Source organism: Homo sapiens, chromosome 3 (genome assembly GCF_000001405.40).
Source record: "Homo sapiens chromosome 3, GRCh38.p14 Primary Assembly".
In the NCBI taxonomy this organism is placed as follows: domain Eukaryota; kingdom Metazoa; phylum Chordata; class Mammalia; order Primates; family Hominidae; genus Homo; species Homo sapiens.
The window spans coordinates 14,331,272-14,344,118 of NC_000003.12; the positions used below are offsets into that span (position 1 = coordinate 14,331,272).

General features: G+C 50.8%; 2 annotated features.

Annotated features, from left to right (window-relative positions):
• Positions 883–1,412: an enhancer, noted in NCBI's record as "H3K27ac-H3K4me1 hESC enhancer chr3:14373654-14374183 (GRCh37/hg19 assembly coordinates)". NCBI's record gives its function as "activates a minimal SCP1, AML or CMV promoter by ChIP-STARR-seq in naive H9 embryonic stem cells {active_cell/tissue: H9 hESC(naive)}" and the evidence as "EXISTENCE:reporter gene assay evidence [ECO:0000049][PMID:30033119]".
• Positions 3,908–4,077: an enhancer, noted in NCBI's record as "experimental_64943 CRE fragment used in MPRA reporter constructs". NCBI's record gives its function as "activates a minimal promoter by MPRAs in K562 erythroleukemia cells, with activity observed for the non-introgressed 3:14376764 variant allele {active_cell/tissue: K562}" and the evidence as "EXISTENCE:reporter gene assay evidence [ECO:0000049][PMID:34662402]".

Below are 12,847 nucleotides of genomic sequence, written 5' to 3' on the forward strand. Positions count from 1 at the left end.
GGCTACCCACCTGTACAGCGTATGACTGTACGGAACACTGCAGGCAGTTGGAACACAGTGAGAAGTATTTGTGGACCTGAACATATCCAAACATAAAAAAGAAACAGTGAAAATACGGTGTGAAAGATAAAAAGTGGTTCCCCTGTACAGGGCCCTTACCATGAATGGAGCTTGCAGGACTGGACGTTGCCCTGGGTGGGTCAGCGAGTGAGTGGTGAGTGCACGTGAAGGTGTAGGGCATGACTGCACCACTGCAGACTTCAGAAACACTGGAAACTTGGGCTACTCTAAATTCACTTTAGTTTACTGTCACTTTTTTACTTTATAAACTTTTAAACTTTTTAAACTTTTTGAGTCCTTTCTAATAACACTTAGCTTAAAACACCTTGTGCGGCTGTACAAAAATATTTTATTTCTTTATATCCTTATTCTATAAGCTATTTCCTATTTTAAAACTTTTAATTTTTTTTTTTTTACTTTGTAAACTTTTTTGTTAAAAACGAAGTCACGAACGCACACATTAGCCCAGGCCTACATAGGCTCGGGATCATCAAGACACCACTACGCGATAGGGATTTTTCAGCTTCATTAAAATATTGTGGGACCGCCATCACGTACACGGTCGGCCATTGACTAAAATGTCATTGTAATTGTATGACTGTGCTTACTCTGTGCCTGGCAGTATCCTCAGTGCTTTGCATATATTAACCCGTTTAATTCTCACAGCCATCCTTTGAGAAATGCGCTATTTTTTTCCACCTTTTATTTTATTTTATTTTTTGAGTTAGGGCCTTGCTCTGTCGCCCAGACTGGAATGCAGTGGTGTGATCACAGCTTACTGCAGCCTCGACATCCCAGGCTCAAGCAATCCTCCCACTTTAGCCTCCACAGTAGCTAGGACTATAGGTGTGCACTACCACGCCCAGCCAATTTTGTTTTAATTTATTTTTTGTAGAGGTCATGTCCCACTGTGTTACCCAGGCTTGTCTTAAACTCTAGGGCTCAAGTAATCCTCCCACATCAGCCTCCCAAACTGTTGGGATGACAGGCGTGAGCCACTGCACCAGGACTCTCCTCATTTTATAAATCAGGAAACTAAAGAAGGGAGAGGTTGAGTCCTTGCCCCCAGGTCTGTCTTACTCCTAAGCCTGGGCTTCACCAGCTGTGTGGTGCGCCTCCATACTGCGCCAAGGCAGCCCACTCAGACCTGTTCTGCAGCCCAGGAGGGCAATGCCAAGGCCAGCCTGAGAGGTAGCAAGCCTCCAGTCTCAGGGGGTGTGCAAACCAAGGAGGTCAAGGATGCTGTGGGGATGGGGCCCAGGGTGGCCTGTATGCTCCTCTCCCTGCTGCACTAGGGGGGCCCTGAGTTACATGACCCACTTGACCCCCGGCTGGTCACTTCTGCTGTGGGCACCAGCCAGGGCACATGGGACGATTTGGCCCAGATGTATCAGCTGCCTTGGGGACCAGCTTGGGTTGAAGCTCGGAATTCCAGGGGCTCCACAGGGCCTAGCAGGGCCCTGCCCTCACCTTGGGAAGGTAGTGACCTCTCCTGTGCCAGGGCTGTACACACCAAGGGGCTGAGCAGCCAGCAGAGCAGAAAACATTGCTCTAATTAGTCTAATTAGGCTCTGCGCAGTGGCATCTGAATCTGCCCCAAAATATTGTAGGTTTCTGTCCCCACAGGGGCCCAGCTGGGCCTAGCTGCTTGGTGGTGCCAGTGGGTGGGAAGCCTGCCAGGCCGGAATCTGCCATGAGCCCTTTCCTTTCCTTCCTTCTTTCCTCCCTTAGACATTTATTGAGCACCTACTTTGTGCCAGGCACACTCTGCTTGATGCCTTAATGGTTGGTGTTCTATGTCTTAAGGCTCCTGGGGTGGGGGTCACCTCCTCTCCTTCAGTCCACTGTGCTGAAGAGTAGGGCTCTGACAGTCCTAGGTGCAAATCCAGAGACTACCATGTGCTCACTGTGTGGCCTCAGGCAGGTTGCTTTTCACTCTGTAAAATGGGCTGACCACTCAGACCATGTAGAATGTGTCCATGGGAGCCCCTCCTCGAGGTTAGTTGAAGTCTCACCTCCTCCAGGAAGCCCTCCTGGTCTCCTAAACCCAACTAGCCTCTCTCTCCTGGACTCTGGTGGTGCCCCTTGCCCCTACCATGCACTGGGGAACATCAGGGCTGAAAGGCTGGAAGTGACCAATGAGTTCAACTTTTGCCCCATGTTACCCAGGGGAAACTGAGGCCCTCTCTGGGGATTGCTTGAGATAATACAATGAACCAATGGCAAAGTCAGCACTAGAACTCAGGTCTCAGGACTCCCTGCCCAGTGCTCTTCCCACAACAGGGCTCTCCTGGAGGCAGCTCGGCTGGTGGTGAAGACAATGGACTGAGGAGTCTGTTGGACCTGGGTTCGAATCCCAGCTCCACCACTTACCAGCTGGGAGACCCAAGGCAGGTCCCTCGGCTTGCTGAACTTTGGCCTCTGCATCTGTAAACAGGGGCGGTGATCACATTGTTGTCAGGGCATCTATTGCAGCGTGCCCTTGGGGAAGTCAGGGGTGTCAGTCTCACGGGCTTTCCTCTAGGCCCTGTCCGTGGGTAGATGCACTCTGGAACCAGGCCTGGCTTTGTTCCTTCCCAGCTGTGTGACCTTGGGCAAGTTACTTCACTGCTCTGCGCCTCAGTTTCCCCTCTGCTAAAACAGAGCTAACACAGAAACACTCCTTGTTAAGGATGAAATGAGTTACTGTTGTGAGGTGGTTAGAACAGACCTTGACACATGGATTAAATGTTAAAATACAAATGCCTGCCTTGCATTCCCCACCAATACCCTGGGGGAGGTTTAATCCCTCACTTCCCAGAGGGCTCTGCAGTTACTTCGGCCAGGTACCCCACAGGATGGGGGCACCCAGCCCAGCCCCCTCTGCCCAGAGTGTGAGCTCCGGGCAGCAGTCACTGGGTGGGTAAAGAAAAGATTACACATTTGTGAACCTTTTAGTTTCTATTTTGTGTTTGTTTTATAATGTACATAAGATACTAGCTCAGTAATCACATCTGTACTTTCCAAATAAGTATTCAACCATGAGGCCATATGCTCCCTCAAGTTTGGAGACCTTTGCCCTAAAATCCTAACATTCGTAACAGCAAACCCTCAGGCTGCCCCCCCAGGAGCCAGGCACTGTAAGGAACACCTTCCCTGTGTCCATCCACTGGGTCCCCTGACGACCCAACAAGGTGAGTGCCATCAGTGTCCCCACCTTCCAGCTGAAGCAACGAGGAAGTTGAGGACTCACTGAGAGGACACAGCTGGCACCAAGCTATGCCCTTGACCACTGGGCTATGCTGCCATTTTAAACCCAAAAGGTCTAAAAGGAAAGGAAAGATCTCCTTCATGAGGATGAGTTTTCTTCCTTTATCTCTCAACACACACACACACACGCACGCACACACACACACGCACAGACACACAAACACACACACGTACACAGAGACACACATGCACATGCACACAGGCATGCACACTCAACAGCCACTTGTACTACTGCTGGCTCGTTGGAAAAATTGATGTTACTTCTATTAGCATAATTTTTGCTCCATCTCCTTTGAACAAAGATCCCAGGCTTGGAAAGCTCAGCGAGCATCGTCTCCCTGCAGTGTCAAGGTCTCCAGTCACATCCTCTTCCCTCCAATTACAAGGCTTCTACCCAATGTCTCCCCTGGTAAGACTGGGGAAGAGAGTGCAGGCGAGCCAAGCCCAGGGCTGGGTGCAGTGGGTACATCTGTCTGTCTGTCTGATGGCGGCTGGAAGCCTCCGTTCTCCTCCACTTCATATGGTGCAGCCATCTGGGCCACGGCTCCCTCTTATTCATCTCTGCATCCGACTCAGGAGATGCTCATAAGCACTTCTTGCAGGAAGAAACACAGGAGCCACTCCTGCGAGTAGCCTCCTCTCTAAAATGAAAACCCCAGCCCCATCTTCAGAAAGTTGGCCGGGGCATTCTGGGCTCCTGGGGCAGGCTGAATTCCAAATTCAGCTCTGAGGAAGATTCTTGGGACAGAAGAGGAAACCAAAGGGACTTTGAAAGACCAGCACCCTTCAGTGTGGTGCTCAACCTTATATTAAAGAAAAGGACACTGAGGCCCAGAGAGACACGGTAAGTGGGCTAGAGTGTCTTGCCACAGCAAATGGCAAGGCTGAGACAGGGTCTGGGTCATTGGGATGGATGAGGGCATGCAGAGCAGGGCCTGGCACATCTCCCACCCCAGGAAAAAATCCTAGGCCTGTAGAACCCCACCCCCACCCCAGAGTTTCAAGGAAGGAGCTGCGAGAGCCTGCCATAGGCGAGGGGAACCAGTTGCCTCAGGCCTGAGACAGAGCCAAGGAAATAGCTAAGGCCAGGCCTTCACTTACTTGTCCCACCTGCCATATGTGGGTGTCTAGCATGTGTGTGTCCTCTGGGGTCCTGGAGGGGAAAGCCTGGCCAAGTGGGTTAAGATGAGGTGTTGGAAGCTGGCATGATTGCCTTCAACCCCAGCTCAGCCACTCCAAGGCAGCTTGGACAGATGAATGCCTCTTGTGAGCCTCAGTTTCTCCATCTTCACAACAGGAATAATGACAAAACCACAGCCCTACTAATAACAACAGGGGCCTCAGGTTCACCCCACTGAGCACTGTGCATGCCTGGCCTGGCCAGTCCTCGGGGCAGCACTGAGCAGCCAAGATTGTCACCGTCCCTGTTTACAGACAAGAAATAGAAGGCTACTACCCAGGAACGTGTCCACCTTTGCACAGCTGTGCAGCTGTCCAGGGTCAAGTTCGGGCACAGGTTGTCAATCTCCAAATGCAAGTTATTTTTACCACGGCTAGATTAATTACCCACCTGTCTTTTACCTGAGGGAACAAATGAAACAATATATGTGCAAAGGGTCTAGTACTGTGCCTGGCACAAAGGAGTGCTGGTAAGCAGTTAGGATTAGATTGACTGTGGTTACCATGGTAACACCAGACTTGTCCACTGTCCCCAACACTGGGAACTGCAGAGTAGTGGAAACACCTGCAAGCCAGAAGGAGGGGTGTTGAGCAAGAAAGTGTGGCCTCGGCATAGAAGCATTTACATTTTTCTTTTTTCTTTTTAAATCTTGTAACGATCAGTCACACTAGAGCCCCATCCCTAGGGCAGAAATTTTTTTCCCTTTGAGCCTCAGTGCTGAGTACTGAATTACACCCCCATCCCCGCCATGTGCCAGGCACATGATCCTCATTGGCCCAGGCAAGCACCACCCTCCATGCCAATTTCCTTATTTACTCTTCTCTTTTCCTGTTTGCCAATGCAGGTGACGAACTTGGCCAGCACAGGTGACCAGTCTACAGGGTGGAATGCCTGCCCTTTTGCACGCATTCTTGCAAAATGCATAAGCTTGTATTTCTCAGTAAACTTTTCAAAGTAAAACATTCATGCAGAAAAAAGCACAAATGACGCATGTAGAGCTTTATGCATTTTCACAACCTGAGCACACCCGTGTCACCCAGAATGAGAAGCAGAATATAACGGGCATTGTGGAAGCCCCCACATGCTCCTTCCCCCAAGGGGGTCACTCCCCTGACTCTGACTCCAGAAAGCAGAAGTAGCTGTCCTGTGCTCTATACAAATGGCATCCTGCACCATGTACCCCTTGGTGCTTGGCTGCTGTTGCTCAACTGCACATCTGTGAGATTCACCCAGGTGGTTGTGTCTGGTTTGCTCTGGTTCGTTCGCTCTCATGCTGTCACATATTCCCTTGTAGAAAACTACCCCAGGCCATTTGCCCAGTCTCCTGTTGTTAGATGTGTGGGTTGTTTCCAGCTTGGCGCTATTACAAACAGGGCTGCACATTCTGGAACAAGTCCTTCGGTGATCATAAGCACACGCTTCTGTTCGGTAAACGGCTAGGGGTGGTATTGCTGGGTCACAGCATATGTGTATGTTGAGCTTTGGTAGGTTCTGCCCAAGTTTTCCAACGTGCCTATACCGTCTGATACTCCTGCCAGCTGCACGTAAGAGTTCCAGTCGCTCCACCTCTTCACCAACTTGCCATTTGTCTGTGTTTCTCCTCGCAGCCACTGTGATGGGTGTGCCTGGTTTTGGATTGCTGTTTTAGTTCTCACTGTTGCCTCTGCATCCCTCTTGATAGCTGGAAGCAACAGCTCCTATGTGCTGGACACTTCATACATACTAGCCTCTAGAGCTTAATCTTACACACATTATCTCACTTAATCGTCACAGCCACCATTTGAGGGAAGTACATTTTACAGTCGAGGAAACCGAAGCACAGAGAGGGGAAGACTCCTCCTCCCAAGGCACAGCTGATGATTTCAATTGGCGGGAAGAGAAGGGGTCAAAGTGAGAACTTCAGCATGACTTGGGGGTGCTCTGACCTGACCCCTCCGTTGTCTCGAATGTGTCTAAGGGACAGGAAGGGTCCCCCGTACTTGAACTCACTTCCCTGATTCTGGGAAAATCCCAATCCTTCCTGGTCTTCAGTCTTCCCAGCTGTGAGATGACAGCAGCCAGCACAGGGCAGGAATAAACATGTGTTTGCTGCACTGACATCTACATCTTGTACTGAGCCCCTACAGCATGCCGGGCAGGCTTCAGATATCACATTTAATCCTCACAAAATCCCTTCGAGTTGGATGTTAATACCTCCCTTTCATAGCTGAGGACGCTGTGATCCTGAGAGGTGGAGACACTTGAGCAAAGTCACACAGCAAATGGCAAAGCAGGATTTGAACTCACTGAGACGTGCCTAGTCCCTTCAAGAACCCTCTATTTGGAGCTCAGCCCAAGCTTTGCAGATGCTACAGGATGGCTTGGCTGTTGGAATGTATTTTTAAATTGTTCAAGAAAGATTACCGTTAAATAGTTCCTGACCTCCTCCAAACTAAGAAGGAGCAAAATGCTAAGCGTAGAGTTCCTATAGGATTCATCAACTCCACTCCTAGGTATACACCCAAGAGAAAGGAAAACATCTTTTCACACAAAAACCTGTACACCGATATTTATAGCAACATTATGCATAATGGCCAAGAATTGAGAAAAAGTGACCATGAATTGATAAATGGATAAATAAAATGTGGTGTATCCGTACAGTGGAATATTATGCAGCCATAAAAAGGAATAAAGTACTGACACAAGCCACAACATGGATGAGCCTTGAAAACATTAGGCAGGTGAAAGAAGCCAGACACAAACGACCCCATCATGTACTATTGCATTTATATGAAGCGTCCAGGATAGGCAAATCCATAGAGACAAAAGTAGATTTGTGGTTGCCAGGGCATGGGGGTCAGGAGGTAGAGATGGGGAGGAGCTGCTAATGGGTAGAGAGTTTCTTTTGGGGTGATGAAAATGTTCTAAGATTAGATAGTGCTGATGGTTATGCAACTCTATAAATAAACTAAAAAAACCCACTTTACTGTACATTTTAAATGGTTTAATTTTTTGGCATATGATTATATTTCAATACATTTTTTTTTTAAATCTGAGTAAGTGACCCAGCAGGAAGCATGCTGGAGAGGACACTCTCTGGGGGCCTTCCAGGAGCTCAGCTGCCTCCTCACCTGGGCAGCGTGCCCCTTGTCACCCTGCATGGCCAGTCGTCTCAAGCACATAACAAAGGTTGTCAGAATGGACTTAGTGTCCACGTTCAACTCACTGCTGCTTCATTTGCAGGGGAAATTATGGGCCACCTTCCTCGCTGTTTATCTTTTTAGGCCTCTAAACCACCTCCTCTGGTTCATTCATTCTTTTGTTTATTCCCCAAGCATTTATTGAGCACCTACTGTGTACCAGGCTCTGTGCTGGTCATGAGACAAATACCAGCTTGTCCTGGCCTTCAAAGAGTAAAGATTTTATCAGGAACATAGACCCAGAAAAAGCAAAGTGTAATCTGATAGGATACTTCTTGTCATCCATTTGACAATGATTTATTGAACACCTACTACATGCTGGGTCTGTATGAGGTGCTGGGGAAGTAGCAGAGCCATGACTTGGGAACACAGACCGACTGCAGCTGTGCTGCTTGGGTTCAGGCCCGGGCTCTGCCACTGACCAGCTGCATGACCTTGGGGAAGCTGCTGCCCTCTCCGTGATGTGGAGGTGAAAATGGAGTCTATGTTATACGGCTGGTGTGAAAGTTAAATGACTCCACATACACAAAGTGCTTAGAAGTGCATGGTGACTACCAAGGACTAGATGAGCGTGAGCTATTGTCACTCTCCTTGTTGTTACACTAGATATGGGCAGCCTAGGGAAGCCAGGGGGCAGTGGGCTTCCAGCCCGTGGGAGACTCTGAGCCAGCCTGGTGATGGGCAGCAGAGGGGCATAACGAGCAGAGGGGACACACGCAGAGGCCTGGAGGCAGAGCCACCAGAGGCACAGGAGAGGTGGGCGAAGGTGAGAGATGAGATGGGCTCTGCGGACCCTTGGTTTGGGTTTTTTTGTTGTTTGTTTTTAGAGACAGAGTTTCACTTTGTTGCCCCAGCTGGAGTGCATGCAATGCGGTGTGATTACAGCTCACTGCATCTCGAACTCCTGGCTTCAGGCAATCCTCCCGCCTCAGCCCCACAAAGTGCTGGAGTGAGCCACTGTGCCTGGTGCTCTGCAGGCTCTTGAGTCTCCCGGTTCTGTCTGCTCTGCCTCTACGTCTTTCGAGGGGGTGGTGGTGGTCTCTCCCTCTAGGCCCCCGAGCCACCTCCCAGCCTTGACATCAGGGGAGGCCTCTGGGGCCAGCACAGGGGAAAAGGGCTGGTGGGAGTGGGCAGAGAGTGGCTGGGACGAGCTGGGTGCAGCTACTGAGGGCCGGATGTGCAGAAGGTATCGGCTTCACAGATTTCCTTCACTCCATCACCACTACTTCTAGGAGGGTGGCACATCATCATCCCCATTTTACAAATGATAAAACTGAGGTTCCAGGAAAGGAAGCACCTGGCCCAGGTCACCCAGACAGTGAGTGGAGGTGCTGAGGTTCAAACCACATCTATTTCCCAGAACCTTCTATCGTTAGCCATCAAGCCAGGGGGAGGGTGGTGACTGGGGAGGCTGAAGCCTTCGGTTAGGGCTAGGGTTAGTGTTAGTCAGTGTCAGTCTTATAGACGGGGGCTAGACTTCTTGTGAGCCCTGGTAAACCCTCCCCATTCCTGGACCTGTTTCCTTCTCTGTAAAATGGAGCCACCAACACCCAATTCACCCAGTGGTGGTCCGAGGGGCGTTTGAAAGTGCCAAGCACCACCCATGTGTCCAGGTCAGATACCCACTGTGTGGCTTCAGGCAAAGCCTTCCGCTGTCTGGACCTTGGATCACAAATGGGGAAATGTGTCACTCTCATCTGGGGCTTCTTGAAAATGTGTGCCTGGGCTTGAACCACAGGGGCCCTGGAGATAGTTTTGGAGTTTCTGTTGAGAGGTGAAGCTGTCACAGGCTAGGTAGAAGTAAGGTTGCAAAATTAAGCAAATACAATGAAAGATGTCCACTTACATTGGAATTTCAGATAGAGAACAAATAATTTTTTAGTATAAGCATGTCCTATGCAATATTTGGGACATACTTATATATATATTTTAAAACTGCTTGCTTATCTGAAATTCCAATTTAACGGAGTGTCTTGAGTTTGATCCTGTAGTCCAGGGCTAGATCGAATGTCTGCCTGCAGATGCTGGTCCTTGGTCTCTCTTTACCACAAAAACATGGCCCTGGGAAGCGAGGGGCTTTGTGGGAAGGTTTAGGAAAGTCAGAGGAAAAACATATCTGCCCCTCCAGCGTCCTCCTACTTCTGTTCTTGCTGTTTTGAAACTCACCCCTATGGTTGGCTAAGAGCTGGCACCATCAGTGCTGGGGGCTGAGAGAGACATGATGTAAGAATACCCTTTATCTGATGGGCAGGCTCAGAATGGCTGTTCAGGTATTTGGGGCCAGGACGCTGGTGGGTGGCTTAGGGCATTGGCAGGCTCCAGACCCCTGGCTATCTGTGCCACTCCCTCCCACTTTTGCCACCGCCCCACCATGATCTGTACCCAAAGAGCACCCCTGGGCGTGAGGACCACCCCCCTCCCAGAAAAGGCTGTATCCTGTGAACCGGCTTGCAGCCAAACAGGGTCTGGGCCGCTCAGAGGAAAGAGACCTTTCTTTCCGTGAGCCCTGTTTCCTCTCCCTGTGAAAGAGGATTTGATTACTCTGACCACTGCAGCCTGGGGAGAGGATGTGCCAAGTCCTCCAGACCTGGTGGGCGGCAGCCTGCTCCCTGCCCGCTTTCCTCTGTCCGGTCACAGTGCCTGCCTAGAGTCCTCGAATGTGTCCTGCCCCAGGTCCACTCCCTAATTTGCAGGGCCTCGTATAGAATGAATATCTAGGGCCCTGTTCGAAAGACTCTGTTTTATTTTATTTCTTCTTATTATTACTGAGACAGGATCTCGCTGTGTCTCCCAGGCTGAAGCGCAGTAGCGCGATCATGGTTCACTGCAGCCTCAACCTCCTGGGCTCAATCGATCATCCTTCCTCAGCTTCCTGAGTAGCTGGGACTACAGGTATGCGCCACTACAATTTGGTATTTCTTGTAGAGATGAAGTTTCGCCATGTTGCCCAGGCTGGTCTCAAACTCCTGGACTCAAGCAATTCACCCATCTCGGCTTCCCAAAGTGCTGGGATTATAGGTGTGAGCCACCGCATTCAGCCAAAAGGCTGTGTTTTGAAATGTCATTAAAAGTCTAAAATATGAAACTCTTCTATTCTTGCGTCGTTTTTTCTCAACCCATCGTGGTGTTTTTTCTTGGCCTGTCATGGTGTTTTGTGTTTACAATTTAATGTCACATTCTCTTGAGTGCAGGAATGCTCGTGGGGGACTCTCCCAGGGGCCTGGGACTCAGGCTCCCCTACTCATCGGGCACGTGTGAAGCAGCTTTCAGGTTTTCTCTCCTGCCAACTACCCAACAGCAGGCCATGCCGCAGACAAGTGGGGAGACCAAGTCAGGCATCTCCCCTTCCCGTGGGCATGCCACTCCAATGCATGGTAGACAGGCAACCCACAACGGTACCGACACTTCCCGGCTGGGGCAGGTCTCTTGTGTTAGGTGCCTTGCCCCCCGCCATCTGGAGCTGCCTACCCAATGTTTCCAGTGCTGCCAGTGTGGAGCAAGGCCTGCTCCTGCCTTGCCCTTCCCTGAGACACACACCCGATCCTGACCCTCTGTGTGCCAGCGCCCAGGCCCCTGGAGAAAGGCGGCAGCAGTGATTGGGTAGGGCCTGGGGTGCCAGAGGATGAGGTCATGGGTGGGACCTTTAATGTCCTGGAGAGGTGCCAGGAGGCAGGAGCCCATGTGAGCAAGCCAAGGCTCCAAGTCCCCTGGGCACACACTCCACTGTCCCACAGGCTTTCACTTACAAAACACACATTCAGCTGGGTGCGGTGGCGCACGCCTGTAATCCCAGCACTTTGGGAGACCGAGGCGGGCAGATCACGAGGTCAGGAGATCGAGATCATTGGGCTAACACGATGAAACCTCGTTTCTACTAAAAATACAAAAAATTAGCAGGGTGTGTTGGCGGGCGCCCGTAGTCCAAGCTACCCAGGAAGCTGAGGCAGGAGAATCGCTTGAACCCAGGAGGCGGAGGTTATAGTGAGCCAAGATTGCACCACTGCACTCCAGCCTGGGTGACAGAGCAAGACTCCATCTCAAACACACACACACACACATGCACACGCACACACACAGACACAAATTCAGGCCAGGCCTGGTGGCTCACATCTGTAATCCCAGCACTTTGGGAAGCCAAGGCAGGAGGATTGCTTAAGGCCAGGAGTTCAAGATCAGCCTGGGCAATATAGTGTGACCCCATTTCTAAAAAAGAAAAAAGGATCCTGGTGTGGTGGTGTGCACCTGTGGTCTCAGCTACTTGGGAGACTGAGGTGAGAAGAGGGTTTCAGCTTGGGAGGCAGAGGCTACAGTGAGTCGTGATTGTGCCACTGCACCCCAGCCTGGGTGACAGAGTGAGACCCTTTCTCAAAAAAAAGCAAACCCCAAAACATCACAAAATCAAAGATAAAGTTATTACAAATTTAAAGCCGGCAACCAGGAGCATTAAACACAAATGGCAGGCTCTGAGTGCCCAGCCTGGCCCAGGCGTGCGGCCAGCCTCACCCTGCTCCCACCCGCCTTAGGGCCCTTGCCATGCTATTCCCTCTGCTTGGAACACTCTATTCCTGCCCTCCTTCCTGATTCACTCCCACTCAGACACCGCCCCTGGGGAGCCCACCGGGATCTTTCAGCCCGTGTCACCCCTCCAGTGTCGTGTCCCTCACGTCTGAAGCCCCGTCCCAGCGTGTGCATTTATTTGTGTGCTCCTTTGAGTCATTTCTGTCCCCCAGCCCAGACTGGACGGGTCATGAGACCAGGGAACAGATTTTTGTTCTTCCATCTCAGAGTATCCAGGGCCTCTCACAGTGGGTTAGTAGTCAGTGTGGAATGAGTCATTAATGGGATGAATGGCCCAGAGGAGGGGACGAAAGAGCAGTGCAGAGGCCCAAAGTGTGAAGGACCAGTTGTGTTTGGAGATCGGTGTCTCTGGGTCCGAGGTCGCATGGGCGGTGCTGGTGCGAGATGAAGCCGGGATGTCTAGTTGGGGTCAGACCGTCAAGGGCCTTGAATGCCAGGCTGAGGACTCAGACTGGCTTTATAAAGGGGTTGTTATAAATGGTGAGATATGGTCACAGCTGTGCCAAGGACAGACTGGAGAGGGGTAAGACTGGAGGCCGGGAGCCCAGGGGGAGGCTGGTACCAGTATCCAGGCCAGGGGCAGGGAGGGAGGAAGGAGGGG